The sequence below is a fragment of the Homo sapiens genome, chromosome 3, assembly GCF_000001405.40.
Source record: "Homo sapiens chromosome 3, GRCh38.p14 Primary Assembly".
In the NCBI taxonomy this organism is placed as follows: Eukaryota; Metazoa; Chordata; class Mammalia; order Primates; family Hominidae; genus Homo; species Homo sapiens.
Window position 1 is genome coordinate 41,816,122 of NC_000003.12, and position 19,516 is coordinate 41,835,637.

Sequence of the window (19,516 nt, forward strand, 5' to 3'; positions counted from 1 at the left end):
ATATACATATTATATATTATATATAAAGTGGCTACATTAAAATTAAGAACTCCTGCCTATCAATAGACACTGTAAAGAAAATGAATAAATGCACATGCACATGAATACACACATACTCACACACACACATATTACAGCAAAGCAAACAGGACAAAATGTTTACTGTTTAATCTAGGTGATGGAAACAAAGGTGATTATTACAGCTTTCTTTTCTTTTCTAATCTTTGAAACATTTTATAATAATAGGTTGTAGAGGATTCAGAGTTCCTACGAAGCAATAGGAAAAAAACAAGTTTAAGACTTCACAAGCACTTTTCAAAACAGGAAGCCCAAAACACGAGGTAAATAGAAAAAGATGGTCATCCTCATTAGTAATCAGAGAAATACATGTTAAAACTACTATAAGAAACCATGGCTGGGTGCAGTGGCTGGCGCCTGTAATCCCAACTCTGGGAGGCCGAGGGAGGTGGATTCCTAGAGCCTATGAGTTCAAGACTAGCCTGGGCGACATGGTGAAACTCTGTCTCTACAAATACAAAAATTAGCCAGGCATAGTAGTATGCATGTGTAGTCCCAGCTACTTGGGAGGCTGAGGCAGGAGGATCACTTGATCCCAGAGGCGGAGGTTGCAGGGAGCCAGGATGACAGAGTGAAATCCTCTCTCAAAAAATAAAAAATAAACCACTTTAATGCCCACCAGATTGACAAAAATTTTAAGTTTGCCTATGTCAAATGTTTGCGAAGATATGGGTTAATAAGTACTTCCATACCCTGCTGGTGGGAGTATAAATTGATACACACACATGCGCACACACAGAGCCCAGAAATAAGTAGACCAACAGAACCAAATAGAGCCCAAAAAGAGACATGTCAACTGATGTGACAGAGGTGACACTGCAGAGCAGGGGAGAGAAGACACACTTTCACTCAGTGATGTGGGGAAACTGTGTGTGTGTGTGTGTGTGTGTGTACTCACGCATGTGCAATGAGGCATATTTCAACAACACCCTACACAGTGGTCCAAATGAACTATAGTTTACACAATCAGCATGTAAACTAATCTAGCTTTAAAAGCAAAAGAATTAAGTCTCAAAAGAATGTGGCGCCATTCCATTTACATAGAGTTCAGCATTAAGAACTGATCAATTCACTGTTTAGCTAAATAATATTTCATGGTATATATATGCCACATTTTCTGTATTCATTCATCCACTGATGGACACCTAGGTTGATTCCATATCTTAGCTAAGAGATTAACAACCGGAATATGTGGACAAAGAAAATGTAGTACATATACATCATAAAAGAACTATGCAGCCATAAAAAATTATAAAATCATGTTCTTTGCAACAACATGGATGCAGCTGGAAGCCATTATCCTAAACAAATTAAAGCAGGTACAGAAAACCAAATACCATGTGTTCTCACTTATAAGTGAGAACTAACATTGGGTACACATGGACAGAAAGAAGGAAACAACAGACACTGGAGACTTCTAGAGGGGAGAAGGTGGACAGGGAATAAGGGCTGAAAAACTACCTACTGGATACTATGCTCACTACCTGGGTGACAGGATCAGTCATAACCCCAAACCACAGCATATACCCATGTAACAAACCTGCACATGTACCCCCTAAATCTAAAATAAAAGTTGAAATTTTAAGAAATAACCAGAATATATAAGGACTTCAACTCAAGAGCAAAAAAACCAAATAACCCAATTTGAAAATGGACAAAAGATCTGAATAGACATTTCTCAAAAGAAGACATAAAAATTGCTAGCAGGTACATGACCAAAGACCCAACAACACTAATCATCAGGGAAATGCAAATCAAAACCGCAATAAGATACCATCTCACCCCAATTAAAATGGCGATTATCAAAAAGACAACAGATGATGGCAAGGATGTGAAGAAAGGACAACTCTTCCATACCGTTGGTGGGAATGTAAATTAGTAAAGCCATTATAGAAAACAGTAAGGAGTTTCCTCAAAAAAAAAAAAAAAAAACTAACTAAAAATAGAGCTACCATATGATCCAGCAGTCCCACTGCTGGGTATATATGCTAAAGAAAGAAAACCAGTATATCAAAGAGACAACTGCACTCCTGTATTCCCATCTTTATCACAGCACTATTCACAATAATGACTTTTACACTGTCAACAGGATCCCTAAAAGCCTTCTCTCTCCCTTGAGTTCCTATATTTTGTTCTTTTGCATTTATGTGTTTGACACATTCCACTTTATATTTTTATTTTCACTCCCACAATAGGTGAGGTCTGTGTGTGAATAGGAATTTTTTCATCTGTGTGCCTCTAAGTGCACCTAGCTTGAAGCTCTGAATGTTAAACCCAAACACGTCTTTTGATGATAGCTGAGAATGACTTAATTCTCATATTATTGACAAAGTACAATTGATAATATACATCATATCCCATAATGACAAATGACTAGGTATTCAAACCTACAGGCTGGGAAGAGTTCAAACTTTTCTTCTGGATCACAGGGGAAAACCTCAGGGAGTTTTTCTACACTTGGAACATGATTCTGTTACCATATAAAGTAGGAAGCAATGAACTCAAAAGAAAGATGTTTATCCTGATATATCTTTCTCATTCCTGAAGGAATGTTTTCACCCTATGGCTTTGCCTTGGGTGAAACAATGTCAAATGATTTAACGCAAATGGAAAATGCCAACCTTTTAGGTTGGTTTCTAAATCCTTTACATAGTTACACGTGGGAGCTACATATAGATGAGCTGGTTGGTTGGCCAGCTGGCTGGCTTTCAGCCATTAACAATTGCTTAAGAAATGATGTGAATAAACTGAAAAATCACATCACGTAATAAATACTACTTAATATTAAAAGCAATGGATACTAGAAGCTTCCCTGTCTCTAAACCTCAAAATGGCAATCTGACAAGATAATCATGGGTTGTCTCAGGCTCACAGAAAATTCGCTGCATACACCTTGCTTACTAAACTAGTGTATCAATAATTTTAAAGGGGGAGTGCGGAGGGTAATTAAGAATATGCTATTGAATGTTAGTTACATTGTTTATATAAGCTATCATTCCTTTAAAAAGCAAGACATTTAAACAAGTGAATGAGAAAGCTAGATCATTTTTACACTTGCTCCACTGTAGGTCACTTGCTCATGGTAGGTTGTCGGGATTATTTAAATTCAGGAGCAATACTTGGTTGACAAGCTCCTGCACTGCTGCAGGCTACAATCCTCATACAGTGCCTGAAGGGTTATTACAATTGCCAGCATCTACAGAGGACAACAAAGGAGCCTTACCCCTTCCCGAAGGCACCTCATTAGCACTGTGTATGCAGCCAAGGGAACAGCCCAGCACTCTCTAGGGTTCTTTTTTTTTTCTTCCTAAAATGAAGTGGGAAAAAAAAAGGCAGTGAAGCTAACAGCACGAAAGATATTAACCCATTCAAGCAAATGGCACAGCTCCAAGTATACAAACTATCTAAAACTTAATAGTCTATTTAAAGTATTACTTACTATCTGATGATAACGACTAGATCAAGGATCTTTTACTGCATTGTACATACAAGATATTTATTCTATTTCTCATTGCATTATATATGATGTGGGTAAGATCCCCTCATTAGAAGGTAGATTTAAAATATTGAGAAATGACAATATGATCCAATATGATCTGACAGATAAATCAATCTAATGATAATTGTAGATGATAATACAGATACAACTATCTGAAAAGTATTACATTATCTGGAATGATTTGAAAGCATAGAAAACACAAGTTTGAGTAATATCTCAGGATAATTCACAAGCACAAGTAAAAGGTATTATGTTACCTAGTAAGACAAGGAACTAAATAAAATGAGCAAATAAGCGGGTACACTGATTTTAATGACATGAGCAATAATTCTCTCCCAGAAGATTAACCAAATTAGTGTAATAACCACAAGCACACTCCTGCAACCTATCAAATACAATCAGAAAATAAATCAGGTACCACACAGAAAGATGAAAAAAACTAATTTTTTAAAGCAGAAAAAATTAGGTTCTACTTACGGAACATACTCAAGATTGTCCAAATGACAGAATTAGTACATTATTAATTTACTTCAGCTACTATGAAAAATAGTTTGGAGATATCTCAAAGAACTAAAAACAGAACTACCATTTGAACCAGCAATCCCATTACTGGTTATATACCCAAAGGAAAATACATCATTCTACCAAAAACACACACACACTCATATATTCATCGTAGCACTATTCACAAGAGCAAAAACATGGAATCAACTTAGGTGCCCATCAACAGTGAAGTGGATAAAGAAAATGTAGTATATATCCACCACGAAATACTACTGCAGCAACACGGATGCAGCTGGAGGCCATTATCCTAAGCAAATTGAAGCAAGAACAGAAAATCAAATACCACGTGTTCTCACTTGTGAGAACTAAACATGAATACACACAGACAGAAGATAGGAACAAAAGACACTAGAGACTACAACAAGTGGGGAGGGTGGGACAGGAGTAAGGGCTGAAAAACTGCATATTGACTACTATGTTCACTACCTGGGAGGTAGGATCAGTTGTACCCCAAACCGCAGCATCATCCAATCTATTCATGTAACAAACCTACACATGTACACCCTGAATCTAAAATAAAGTTGAAATTTTAAAAAAAGAATTAGTACATTACTAATCCAAAAGTATTTTACACCCATGAGAAGAATCATGACCCATTAAAACCATTCCCTTACTTGATTATAGAATTCCACATATGGTTATACCCTGGACATTATGATCAGGAGCTGCTCCAACTCAAAAATCACTAATTCACACTAAATTTAACTTGCAAACACAACTTTCTTTCCTTCCCTTATTCTTCCCTTATTTAAAATGCCCACCACAACCCTTAACATCAGTGGACTCTGTGCCCTCTCCCTTGGCCCTTCTTTCCCTCAACAGATCACCTACTTCACTCCCAGCCACTTAGAATCCCGTACCCATCATTTAATCACTCCTGCCCAAAACCTAAACTATCAGTCTCTTTAGTTGTCCCTTTACTCTTGTTTGGGAAACCTCAACCTCTGAGAAAGCCAGCTGCTTGTTTTCTCTAAGTCTGCTCTCAGACAACTGGGCCCTTAGAGAAGGTGGCACCAGAGAGCACAGAGTCCATTACTTACTTGGGATCAGCATCCTCAGGGGACCTTCAACATCCATCTCCAGACCTACTATTTCTCTTATCACCACCCTCCCTGAAAAGGCTATTTTAAAGCTATGACGCTCCCACCACTTCACCTACTCTCCTCCTTCACAGATAAAGAGAATGGAAGTTCTGAGAAAGGAAAGACAAACTTTCCTCCACATAAAGCCATCTGCTACTTCTGCCCAATGGTTATAACAGGACAGGTTCCTCCATTCCTGTCCCTCCACTTGGGCTCAGGATCCCATCCCCATCCTCCCTTCTTCAGGGTCATTAGCTAATGGACTATCCCTTATTGCTCCTAAATTTTCAACATCTTATCCCCTCTGGGTCTTTCCTGTTTCCACCTGAATAGGGTCACGGTATCTCATTTTGAAAACAAGACCCTCCTCATCCCTTGGCCCCTTTTCACAACTATCCTCACTTTACACTGACTTTCTCAGTTTCCTCACCTTCCACTAACTCCTCGCCCACTCCAATATGACGACTTCTATCTCCCTCATAACAGGAAAAATAAATAAATATATAAAAAGCTCTTGCTGAGTTACCAGTGACTTTCATGTCATTAAATCCAACAGATCCCTCTTAGTCCTTTAAATTGGGCCTTAAACTACATTCAGCCCTACTGACTTTCCCTTTCCTGAAATACCCACTTCTCTCTCCTAATTTTGCTCCTGCGTTGCTTACTCTCATCCAGGCTCTCAGAATCCTGTTTTCAGTCTCCACTCTACTCTCCACATTTAAACCAGAATTATCTTTTTGGCATGCAAATCAGCTGACATAATTACCCTCTTAAAACTCTTTAATGAGTTCCCCTTGCTCTTCGGATCAAGACCAAGACATCGGACTGGTGAGGAGCCCTTCATGATCATGTCCCTGCCAGTCTCTCCAACCCTGCCTCCTTCCTCACTTCTCTCCTGTCCCACTGGCCTTGGTGCAGTTCATGCATGAAAAAAGCACCTACGGTGCACCAGAAACTCTTCTTAATAACGGCCGTAATCCATAATGAGGCAAATACATTTTCTTCCTTAATAGTGCTTAGTGGAAGACTGAGATTTTTTTTGTTTCATTTTGTTTTTCTTGTTTTTTGTCGTTCGTTTCGTTTTGTTTTTGATACCAAGTTTCGCTCTTGTTGCCCAGGCTGGAGTGCAGTGGCATGATCTCAGCTCACTGCAACCACCACCTCCTAAGTTCAAGTAATTTTCCTGCCTCAACCTCCCAAGTAGCTGGGATTACAGGCCTGAGCCACCACACCCGGCTAATTTTTTGTAGTTTTAGTAGAGACAGCATTTCGCCATGTTGGCCAGGCTCGTCTCAAACTCCTGAGCTCAGGTGATCCACCCGCCTCAGCCTCCCAAAGTGCTGGGATTACAAGCATAAGCCACCATGCCGGGCTGAGATTTTTTTTTTTTTTTTTTTGAGACAGTCTCGCTCTGTCACCCAGGCTGGAGTGCAGTGGCAACATCTTGGCTCACTGCAAGCTCCGCCTCCCAGGTTCACGCCATTCTCCTGCCTCAGCCTCCCAAGTAGCTGGGACTACAGGCGCCCACCACCACACCCGGCTAATTTTTTTGTATTTTTAGAAGAGACCGGTTTTCACCATGTTAGCCAGGATGGTCTCGATCTCTTGACCTCATGATCCACCTGCCTCAGCCTCCCAAAGTGCTGGGATTATAGGCATGAGCCACCACGCCCGGCCGAGATTTTTTTTTTAAAGAAGTAAACAAAGTAAGTCAGTCAAGATAATGATGAGTGCTATAAAGAAAAACAGCAGAGTAAGAGGTTGCAGAAAGACTGTAGACAGGCTGGCTCCATCTCAGATCACTCAGAGACAGGGAAAGGCTTTCTGAAGGGATTTTTGAGCACACAGAAAATACAAACAACTCAGAAGAAAATATTAGAAGCAGGAGAAACAGCAAATGTCAATATAGTGAGGCAGAAGCATGGCATAGTGGGTTTAAGGAACTGTGGGGAGGTCAGTATAGCTGGAAGGAGTGAGTAGGAAGATAGTGAGGAATTAGGTCAGACAGGTTCTGAAGAGCCAGCCCAAAAGGGCCCAGAAGGTAATTACAGAGACTTTGGCTGTGACAATGAAGAAAGAAATTATGGGATAAAACAAAAAAGACAAAATAAGAATACCTGAACTCAGGGTGATAGGTATCCTTGACAAAATCAAGAAAAACACAAAAACTGAAAATGTGTTGCCTTATAATACCCTCTGCAGAATCACACTCTGGTCTTCTGTCTGTAAGCCTGAAACCTTAGGGTGTTACTAGAGAGCCAACAAGACTCAGGTTGTTGTATTATGTATACTATATATAATCACTTCAGCTCAGTACCAACAGGTTAGCACTGACCTGAGATTTTAATGTTTATTGTACTCAAACTGACAATTCCACAAAGCCCTCATGTCCTGAAAAGTTATTTATTTTTGTAGACTCAGGGACTTAACTTCCTTTTCCAGTTTGCTATCACGAGATGTAGTTAAATGTCATGGCCACATTATCATCCCTTTATTCAAATAGCCTAGCTTGTATTCAGTTAAAGTATATACCAAGGGCTGGGCATGGTGGCTCACGCCTATAATCTCAATACTTTGGAAGACTGAGGCAGGCAGATCACTTGAGGTCAGGAGTTCAAGACCAGTCTGGCCAATGTGGCGAAACACCATTTCTACTAAAAATACAAAAATTAGCCAGGTGTGGTGGTGTACACTTGAAGTCCAAGCTACTCAGGAGGCTGAAACAGGAGAATTGCTTGAATCCAGGAGGTGGGGGTTGCAGTGAGCCAAGATTATGTCACTGCATTCCAGCCTGGGTGAGAGAATGAGACTCTATCTTTAAAAAAAAAAAAAAAAAAAGGAGGAGCCAAGATAGCCAAATAGGAACAGCTCCAGTCTACAGCTCCCAGCATGAGCGATGCAGACGATGGGTGATTTCTGCATTTCCAACTGAGGTACCAGGTTCATCTCACTGGGGAGTGTCGGACAGTGGGTGCAGGACAGTGGGTGCAGCACACCGAGCATAAGACAAAGCAGGGTGAGGCATTGCCTCACCGGGGAAGCGCAAGGGGTCAGTGAATTCCCTTCCCTAGTCAAAGAAAGGGGTGACAGACGGCACCTGGAAAATCGGGTCACTCGCACCCTAATACTGCACTTTTCCAATGGTCTTAGCAAACAGCACACCAGGAGATTATATCCCACGCCTGGCTCGGAGGGTCCTACGCCCATGAAGCCTCGCTCATTGCTAGCACAGCAGTCTGAGATCAAACTGCAAGGCAGCAGCGATGCTGGGGGAGGGGTGCCTACCATTGCCGAGGCTTGAGTAGGTAAACAAAGCAGCCAGGAAGCTCGAACTGGGTGGAGCCCACCGCAGTTCAAGGAGGCCTGCCTGCCTCTGTAGACTCCACCTCTGGGGGCAGGGCATAGCCAAACAAAAGGCAGGAGAAACCTCTACAGACTTAAATGTCCCTGTCTGCCAGCTTTGAAGAGAGTAGTGGTTCTCCCAGCACACAGCTGGAGATCTGAGAACGGACAGACTGCCTCCTCAAGTGGGTCCCTGACCCCCGAATAGACTAACTGGGAGGCACCCCCAGTAGGGGCAGACTGACACCTCACAGGGCTGGGTACTCCTCTGAGACAAAACTTCCAGAGGAACAATCGGGCAGCAACATTTGCTGTTCACCAATATCCGCTGTTCTGCAGCCTCCGCTGCTGATACCCAGGTGAACAGGGTCTGGAGTGGACCTCCAGCAAACTCCAACAGACCTGCAGCTGAGGGTCCTGTCTGTTAGAAGGAAAACTAACAAACAGAAGGGACATCCACACCAAAACCCCATCTGTACATCACCATCATCAAAGACCAAAGGTAGATAAAACCACAAAGATGGAAAAAACAGAGCAGAAAAACTGGAAACTCTAAAAATCAGAGCACCTCTCCTCCTCCAAAGGAATGCAGCTCCTCACCAGCAACGGAACAAAGCTGGATGGAGAATGCCTTTGACGAGTTGAGAGAAGAAGGCTTCAGATGATCAAACTACTCTAAGCTAAATGAGGAAGTTCGAACCTATGGCAAAGAAGTTAAAAACCTTGAAAAAAAATTAGACAAATGGCTAACCAGAATAACCAATGCAGAGAAGTCCTTAAAGGACCTGATGGAGCTGAAAACCATGGCACAAGAACTACGTGACAAAGGCGCAAGCCTCGGTAGCCAATTCGATCAACTGGAAGAAAGGGTATCAGTGATGGAAGATCAAATGAATGAAATGAAGCAAGAAGAGAAGTTTAAACAAAAAATAAAAAGAAATGAAAAAAGCCTCCAAGAAATACGGGACTATGTGAAAAGGCCAAATCTACGTCTGATTGGTGTACCTGAAAGTGACAGGGAGAATGGAACCAAGCTGGAAAACACTCTGCAGGATATTATCCAGGAGAATTTCCCCAATCTAGCAAGGCAGGCCAACATTCAAATTCAGGAAATACAGAGAACGCCACAAAAATGCTTCTCAAGAAGAGCAACTCCAAGACACATAATTGTCAGATTCATGAAAGTTGAAATGAAGAACAAAATGTTAAGGGCAGCCAGAGAGAAAGGTCGGGTTACCCACAAAGGGAAGCCCATCAGACTAACAGCGGATCTCTTCGCAAAAACTCTACAAGCCAGAAGAGAGTGGGGACCAATATTCAACATTCTTAAAGAAAAGAATTTTCAACCCAGAATTTCATATCCAGCCAAACTAAGCTTCGTAAGTGAAGGAGAAATAAAATACTTTACAGACAAACAAATTTTGACAGATTTTGACACCACCAGGCCTGCCCTACAAGAGCTCCTGAAGGAAGCACTAAACATGGAAAGACCAACCAGTACCAGCCACTGCAAAAACATGCCAAATTGTAAAGACGATGGAGGCTAGGAAGAAACTGAATCAACTAACGAGCAAAATAACCAGCTAACATCATAATGACAGGATCAAATTCACACATAACAATATTAACCTTAAATGTAAATGGGCTAAATGCTCCAATTAGAAGACACAGACTGGCAAACTGGATCAAGAGTCAAGACCCATCAGGGTGCTGTATTCAGGAAACCCATCTCATGTGCAGAGACACACATAAGCTCAAAATAAAGGGATGGAGGAAGATCTACAAAGCAAATGGAAAACAAAAAAAGGCAGGGGTTGCAATCCTAGTCTCTGATAAAACAGACTTTAAACCAACAAAGATCAAAAGAGACAAAGAAGGCCATTATATACTGGTAAAGGGATCAATTCAACAAGAAGAGCTAACTATCCTAAATACATATGCACCCAATACAGGAGCACCCAGATTCATAAAGCAAGTCCTTAGAGACCTACAAAGAGACTTAGACTCCCACACAATAATAATAGGAGACTTTAACACCCCACTGTCAACATTAGACAGATCAACGAGACAGAAAGTTAACAAGGATATCCAGGAATTGAACACAGCTATGCACCAAGCGGACCTAATAGACATCTACAGAACTCTCCACCCCAAATCAACAGAATATACATTTTTTTCAGCACCACAACACACCTATTCCAAAAGTGACCACATAGTTGGAAGTAAAGCTCTCCTCAGCAAATGTAAAAGAACAGAAATTACAACAAACTGTCTCTCAGACCACAGTGCAATCAAACTAGAACTCAGGATTAAGAAACTCACTGAAAACCGCTCCACTACATGGAAACTGAACAACCTGCTCCTGAATGACTACTGGGTACATAACGAAACAAAGGCAGAAATAAAGATGTTCTTTGAAACCAACGAGAACAAAGACACAACATACCAGAATACCTGGGACACATTCAAAGCAGTGTGTAGGGGGAAATTTATAGCACTAAATGCCCACAAGAGAAAGCAGGAAAGATCTAAAATTGACACCTTAACATCACAATTAAAAGAACTAGAGAAGCAAGAGCAAACACATTCAACAGCTAGCAGAAGGCAAGAAATAACTAAGATCAGAGCAGAACTGAAGGAGACAGAGACACAAAAAACCCTTCAAAACAATCAGTGAATCCAGGAGCTGGTTTTTTGAAAAGATCAACAAAATTGATAGACCACTAGCAAGACTATCAGACAACAATCAAATAGACGCAATAAAAAATGACAAAGGGGATATCACCACCGATCCCACAGAAATACAAACTACCATCAGAGAATACTACAAACACCTCTATGCAAATAAACTAGAAAATCTAGAATAAATGGATAAATTCCTCGACATATACACCCTCCCAAGACTAAACCAGGAAGAAGTTGAATCTCTGAATAGACCAATAACAGGATCTGAAATTGAGGCAATAATTAATAGCTTACCAACCAAAAAAAGTTCAGGACTAGATGGATTCACAGCCAAAATCTACCAGAGGTACAAGGAGGAGCTGGTACCATTCCTTCTGAAACTATTCCAATCAATAGAAAAAGAGGGAATCCTCCCTAACTCATTTTATGAGGCCAGCATCATCCTGATACCAAAGCCTGGCAGAGACACAACCAAAAAAGAGAATTTTAGACCAATATCCCCGATGAACACTGATGCAAAAATCCCCAATAAAATACGGGCAAACCAAATCCAGCAGCACATCAAAAAGCTTATCCACCATGATCAAGTGGGCTTCATCCCTGGGATGCAACGCTGGTTCAACATACACAACTCAATCAACATAATCCAGCATATAAACAGAACCAAAGACAAAAACCACATGATTATCTCAATAGATGCAGAAAAGGCCTTTGACAAAATTCAACAGCCCTTCATGCTAAAAACTCTCAAAAATTAGGTACTGATGAGACCTATCTCAAAATAATAAGAGCTATCTATGACAAACCCACAGCCAATATCATACTGAATGGAAAAAAACTGGAAACATTCCCTTTGAAAACTGGCACAAGACAGGGATGCCCTCTCTCACCACTCCTATTCAACATAGTGTTGGAAATTCTGGCCAGGGCAATCAGGCAGGAGAAGGAAATAAAGGGCATTCAATTAGGAAAACAGGAAGTCAAATTGTCCCTGTTTACAGATGACATGATTGTATATCTAGAAAACCCCATTGTCTCAGCCCAAAATCTCCTTAAGCTGATAAGCAACTTCAGCAAAGTCTCAGGATACAAAATCAATGTACAAAAATCACAAGCATTCTTATACACCAATAACAGACAGAGAGCCAAATCATGAGTGAACTCCCATTCACAACTGCTTCAAAGAGAATAAAATACCTAGGAATCCAACTTACAAGGGATGTCAAGGACCTCTTCAAGGAGAACTAGAAACCAATGCTCAATGAAATTAAAGAGGATACAAACAAATGGAAGAACATTCCATGCTCATGGGTAGGAAGAATCAGTATCGTGAAAATGGCCATACTGCCCAAGATAATTTATAGATTCAACGCCATCCCCATCAAGCTACCAATGACTTTCTTTACAGAATTAGAAAAAACTACTTTAAATTTCATATGGAACCAAAAAAGAGCCCACATTGCCAAGTCAATCCTAAGCCAAAAGAACAAAGCTGGAGGCATCACGCTACCTGACTTCAAACTATACTACAAGGCTACGGTAACCAAAACAGCATGGTACTGGTACCAAAACAGAGATATAGATCAATGGAACAGAACAGAGCCCTCAGAAATAATGCCACATATCTACAACTATCTGATCTTTGACAAACCTGACAAAAACAAGCAATGGGGAAAGGATTCCCTATTTAATAAATGGTGCTGGGAAAACTGGCTAGCCATATGTAGAAAGCTGAAACTGGATCCCTTCCTTACACCTTACACAAAAATTAATTCAAGATGGATTAAAGACTTAAATGTTAGACCTAAAACCATAAAAACCCTAGAAGAAAACCTAGGCAATACCATTCAGGACATAGGCATGGGCAAGGACTTCATGTGTAAAACACCAAAAGCAATGGCAACAAAAGCCAAAATTGACAAATGGGATCTAATTAAACTAAAGAGCTTCTGCACAGCAAAAGAAACTACCATCAGAGTGAACAGGCAACCTACAGAATGGGAGAAAATTTTTGCAATCCACACATCTGACAAAGGGCTAATATCCAGAATCTACAATGAACTCAAATTTACAAGAAAAAAAAACAAACAACCCCATCAACAAGTGGGTGAAGGATATGAACAGACTCTTCTCAAAAGAAGACATTTATGCAGCCAAAAGACACATGAAAAAATGCTCATCATCACTGGCCATCAGAGAAATGCAAATGAAAACCACAATGAGATACCATCTCACACCAGTTAGAATGGCAATCATTAAAAAGTGAGGAAAACAACAGGTGCTGGAGAGGATGTGGAGAAATAGGAACACTTTTACAGTGTTGGTGGGACTGTAAACTAGTTCAACCATTGTGGAAGTCAGTGTGGCGATTCCTCAGAGATCTAGAACTAGAAATACCATTTGACCCAGCCATCCCATTACTGGGTATATAGTCAAAGGACTATAAATCATGCTGCTATAAAGACACATGCACACGTATGTTTATTGCGGCATTATTCACAATAGCAAAGACTTGGAACCAACCCAGATGTCCAACAATGATAGACTGGATTAAGAAAATGTGGTACATATACACCATGGAATACTATGCAGCCATAAAAAATGATGAGTTCATGTCCTTTGTAGGGACATGGATGAAGCTGGAAACCATCATTCTAAGCAAACTATCGCAAGGACAAAAAACCAAACACCGCATGTTCTCACTCATAGGTGGGAATTGAACAACGAGAACACATGGACACAGAAAGGGGAACATCACTCTCTGGGGACTGTTGTGGGGTAGGGGGAGTGGGGAGGGATAGCATTAGCAGATATACCTAATGTTAAATGACGAGTTAACGGGTGCAGCACACCAACATGACACATGTATACATATGTAACAAACCTGCATGTTATGCACATGTACCCTAAAACTTAAAGTATAATTTAAAAAAGGTATATACCAAGGAAAATTACTCTCTATATCTACTTTTAGATCTAGTAGGAACATGATTCTGTATGATTCTATCTGCATAAGATTCTAGAAAACGAAAACAAGTCTATATAAAGAAAGCAAATCAGTGGTAGTATGGAGACAGTAGGGGATTAAAAAGGGTGCTAAGGAAACTTTTGGAGGTGATAGGTTCATTTTCTGTATGTAGTGATGGTTTCATAGGTGTATACATAAATGAACATTTATCAAATTGTGATGTTTAAATATGTGTTTATTGTCTACCAATTATATCTCAAGCAGGGGGCAGGGATGAAAAACTATAGGACCAAAAAAAGAAGAATTAGACTAGACTGTCATTATTGGTAAGACAGTAGACCAGGTACCTGACTACTCTTCTAATGAAAGCAACTGGTTTTATTTTGACACCCTTAAAATGCATCAAAGATCTGACAAAATAATAAAGAATAATTAAGCCAAAAATCAGACAATTGAAAGCATGGGATAAACTGAGCACTGAGGTTTTATTTTCTCGGGGGGTATACAAAACTTGTTAAGTTTGAGCCTTGATGTCAAGGCCTTGAGGGTCCAAAATAGTGGTAAAGTAGAAATAAATTCTCCAGCCCTATCCCCAAAGAACTGCGAGGAAAAGTGCCTTTCACAAAACTTGGCACATAATGTACATCGCACAGGGAATGTTTTTATTATTTTTTTTATTTATTTATTTATTTATTGATTTATTTATTAGACAGGGTGTTGCTCTGACACCCAGACTGGAGTGCAGTGGCATGATCACGGCTCACTGCAGCCTCAACCTCGTAGGCTTGAGCAATCCTCCCACCTCAGCTTCCCAAGTAGCTGGGACTACAGGTGCACACCACTACACACAGCTAATTTTTGCAAGTTTTTTAGACGAGGTTTCACCATGTTGACCAGGGCGGTCTCAAACTCCAGGGCTCAAGAGATCCTCCTGCCTTGGCCTCCAAAAGTACTGGGATGGAAATGTTCTATCACATAAAAAGAAGAGGGAGCAGGGAGCTACAAGTACTGACTGAGAAATATATCTATGTTAATTATTAAGAAACAGCTCCAGTGTACATATCTCCATATACTAGTCGTTTTTTTTTTTTTTAATGGTGGTATCATCACTTACCAAAGTATCTTGACCTTGATGGAGCTTACATTGAAAAATAAAGTTTACATTTTTATTGTTATTTTATATATATATATATTTTTTTTTCTTTCTTAAACTTTAGGTTCTAGGATACATGTGCAGGACGTGCAGGTTTGTTACATAGGTATACGTGTGCCAGAGTGGTTTGTTGTACCTATCAACCCATCATCTAGGTTTTAAGCCCCAAATGCATTTGGTAATTATCCTAATGTTCTCCCTCCCCTTGCTCCCCATCCCCTGACAGGCCCCCATGTGTGTTGTTCCCCTCCCTGTGTCCATGTGTTCTCATTGTTCAACTCCCATTTGTGAGTGAGAATATGCAGTGTTAGGTTTTCTGTTCCTGTGTTAGTTTGCTGAGGATGATGGCTTCCAGCTTCACCCATGGCCCTGCAAATGATATGATCTCATTCTTTTTTATTGCTGCATAGTATTCCATGGTGTATATGTGCCACATTTTCTTTATCCAGTCTATCATTGATGGGCATTTGGGTTGGTTCCATGTCTTTGCTATTGTAAATAGTGCTGCAATAAACATACATGTGCATATGTCTTTATAGTAGAATGATCTATATTCCTTTGGGTTTATAACCAGTAATGGGATTGCTGGGTCAAATGGTATTTCTGGTTCTAGATCCCTGAGGAATCGTCCTCCACAACGGTTGAACCAATGTACATTCCCACCAACAGTCCAAAAGCATTCTTATTTCTCCACAGCCTCGCCAGCATTTTTGTTTCTTGACTTTTTAATAATTGCCATTCTGACTGGTGTGAGACGGTATCTCATTGTGGTTTTGATTTGCATTTCTCTAATCATCAGTGATAATGAGCTTTTTTTCATATGTTTGTTGGCCACATAAATGTCTTATTTTGAGAAATGTCTGTTCATATCCTTTGCCCACGTTTTTATGGGTTGTTTGCTTTCTCTTGTAAATTTGTTTAAGTTCCTTGTAGATTCTGGGTATTAGACCTTTGTCAGATGGGTAGATTGCAAAAATTTTCTCCCATTCTGTAGGCTGTCTGTTTACTCTGATGCTAGTTTATTTTGCTGTGCAGAAGCTCTTTAGTTTAATTAGATCCCATTTGTCAATTTTGGGTTTTGATGCCATTGCTTTTGGTGTTTTTGTCATTAAGCCTTTGCCCATGCCTATGTCCTAAATGGTACTGCCTAGGTTTTCTTCTAGGGTTTTTATGGTTTTGGGCTTTACATTTAAGTCTTTAATCCATCTTGAGTTAATTTTTGTATAAGGTGCAAGGAATGCATCCAGTTTCAGTTTTCTGCATATGGCTGGCCAGTTTCCCCAGCACCATTTATTAAATAGGGAACCTTTCCCCATTGCTTTTGTCAGGTTTGTTGAAAATCAGATGGTTGTAGATGTATGGGTTATTTCTGAGGTCTCTGTTCTGTTCCATTGGTCTGCATGTCTGTTTTGTACCAGTACCATGCTGTTTTGGTTACTGTAGCCTTGTAGTATAGTTTAAAGTCAGGCAGTGTGATGCCTCCAGCTTTGTTCTTTTCGCTTAGGATTGTCTTGGCTATATGGGCTCTCTGTGGTTCCATATGAAATTTAAAGTAGTTTTTTCTAATTCTGTGAAGAATGTCAATGGTAGTTTGATGGAAATAGCATTGAATCTATAAACTACTTTGGGCAGTATGGCCATTTTCACAATATTGATTCTTCCTATCCATGAGGATGCAATGCTTTTCATTTGTTTGTGTCCTCTCTTATTTCCTTGAGCAATGGTTTGTAATTCTCCTTGAAGAGGTCCTTCCTGTCCCTTGTTAGCTGTATTCTTAAGTTGTTTTTTTTTTTGTTTTTTTTTTTTTTGTTTGTTTGTTTTGAGATGCCATCTTGCTCTGTCGCCCAGGCTGGAGGGCAGTGGCGCAATCTCGGCTCACTGCAAACTCCGCCTCCCGGGTTCAAGCCCTTCTCCTGCCTCAGCCTCCCGAGTAGCTGGGACTACCAGTGCCCACCACCATGCCTGGCTAATTTTTTTGTATTTTTAGTAGAGACGGGGTTTCACCATATTAGCCGGGATGGTTTTGATCTCCTGACCTCATGATCCACCTGCCTCAGCCTCCCAAAGTGCTAGGATTGCAGGCGTGAGCCACTGCGCCCAGCCAAGTATTTTATTCTCTTTGTAGCAACTGTCAATGGCAGTTCATTCATGATTTGGCTCTCTGCTTGTCTACTGTTGATGTATAGGAATGCTTGTGATTTTTGCACACTGATTTTGTATTCTGAGACTTTGCTGAAGTTGCTTATCAGCTTAAGGAGTTTTTGGGCTGAGACAAGGGGGGTTTCTAAATCTAGAATCATGTCATCTGCAAACAGAGACAATTTCACTTCCTCCCTTCCTATTTAAATGCGCTTTATTTCTTTCTCTTGCCTGATCACCCCGGCGAGAACTTCCAATACTATTTTGCTCCCTGTACTATTCCTAACAGTGTATAACTATTGAGTGAAAAAAGTGAGTTTCTACCTGTTGCCTAAAATGATACAAAATCTACATTTGTATTTGCTCATATATACAAAATTAACTCTGTAAATATAAGAAATTATATTTGTATTTTATAATATTTATATTAAATTACACATAATTATAATATTTATTGGGGAGCTGGACAGATGGGGTACAAAACTAGGAAAAAGACTTCTCCCCATATACCTTTCTTCACTTTCCAGTGTTCTAGGTTTGTGAATATGTTGTCCCTTTGAAATACAAAATTACCTGAGAATAAATTCAACCAAAGAAAGATGTACAAAGGCATTCTGTATAGAATAAAAGAATTGCAACAAAATTTTTTTATATATTAATATATGTAAATACTACTTTTGTGCATTGGAGGACTATATAAATATCATAAAGATATCAATACTTTCCCAATCAATACACAGATTCAGTACAATTCCAAATGTGATTTGGAAGACTCAAAATCGTAACGATATTAGTTATCAAATTTATCTACATAATCAGTGTAGTTTTTAAAAACAGATGATTTGCAGAATTGGACAAGCTGATTCTAAAATTTATTCTGATATGCGAAGGGCCAGGAATAGTCAAGACACTCACAAAAACAAAGAATGAAGAGGACGGATTTGCTGTACCAGCTATCAGTACTAATTATGGAGTTAAACAAGTTAAAATACTCATGTTTTATAACAATCATGGTAACTGCCTTAAAATGATGATTGTTCAGAAAGTCAGTTTAATTTAGATACTAAGGATATTGAGGTTATGTAACATTTGAGCAAGTGCTAGAACCAAAACTCAAGAAATACAATTACAGTCATGTACAGTGGCTCACACCTGTAATCCCAGCACTGTGGGAGGCCAAGGTGGGCGAATCACTTCAGCCTAGGAATTCGAGACCAGCCTGGGCAACATGGCGAAACCCCATCTTCACAAAATATACAAAAAATTAGCCAGGCACGGAGGTGCATACCTGTAGTTTTTATATATTAATATATGTAAATACTACTTTTTGTGCATTGGAGGACTATATAAATATCATAAAGATATCAGTAATTTCTCAATCAATACACAGATTCAGTACAATTCCAAATGTGATTTGGAAGACTCAAAATCATAACAATATCAGTTCTCCTCAAATTAGTCCCAGCTACCCAGGAGGCTGAGGTGGGAGAATGATCTGAGCCCAGGAGGTCGAGGCTGCCGTGAGCCATGATCATGCTATCACACTCCAGCCTGGGCAACAGAGTGAGACCCTGTCTCAAAACAAACAAAGAAATACAATGACATAACCTCCTTAATTACTTATAACTTACCAGTATTTATTTAGAACTCTCAGAGTATGACACTAAATGACTAATTCATAACTTATCACTATCTATTCCATAATATTCTTTTTAAAAAACCACATTAATGGAATATTAAATTTTGGCTTGTTGAATTCAGTAGCACTTCCATATTGCACCTTTAGATATAATAAGTCAAATTCTGCCTTCACAAATGCCCATAGTCAGTTAAAAGCTGTATTTGCACAAAGTTGTGCTTTATTTAAACTGAAATGGAGCTTTCCATGGAAAGAACCAATGGTCTCCTCTTGCCTAAAGGAGTAAAGGATGGCAGCAACCTTGGGAGTACCTTAGGGACTTTCAGTCCATTGACTTTAAAATATGGCCTTCAAACCACCTACATTC

General features: G+C 39.8%; 1 protein-coding gene across 6 annotated transcripts in view; it reads right to left on the bottom strand.

The window, feature by feature from the left end:
• Positions 1 to 19,516, bottom strand: part of ULK4 (unc-51 like kinase 4) — a 715,505-nt gene that overhangs the window by 569,523 nt on the left and 126,466 nt on the right. For 5 of the 6 annotated variants that reach the window (NR_136342.2, NM_001322501.2, NM_017886.4 and 2 more), the window contains one exon: positions 3,302 to 3,385. The exons of the other annotated variant lie outside the window; for it this stretch is intronic. Coding sequence is in view for 4 of the 5 variants with exons in the window: in NM_001322501.2 (NP_001309430.1) it covers positions 3,302 to 3,385 (84 nt within the window). In the remaining variant the exon portion in view is untranslated. The remainder of the gene's footprint in view (positions 1 to 3,301; positions 3,386 to 19,516) is intronic. 6 annotated transcript variants of the gene reach the window in all.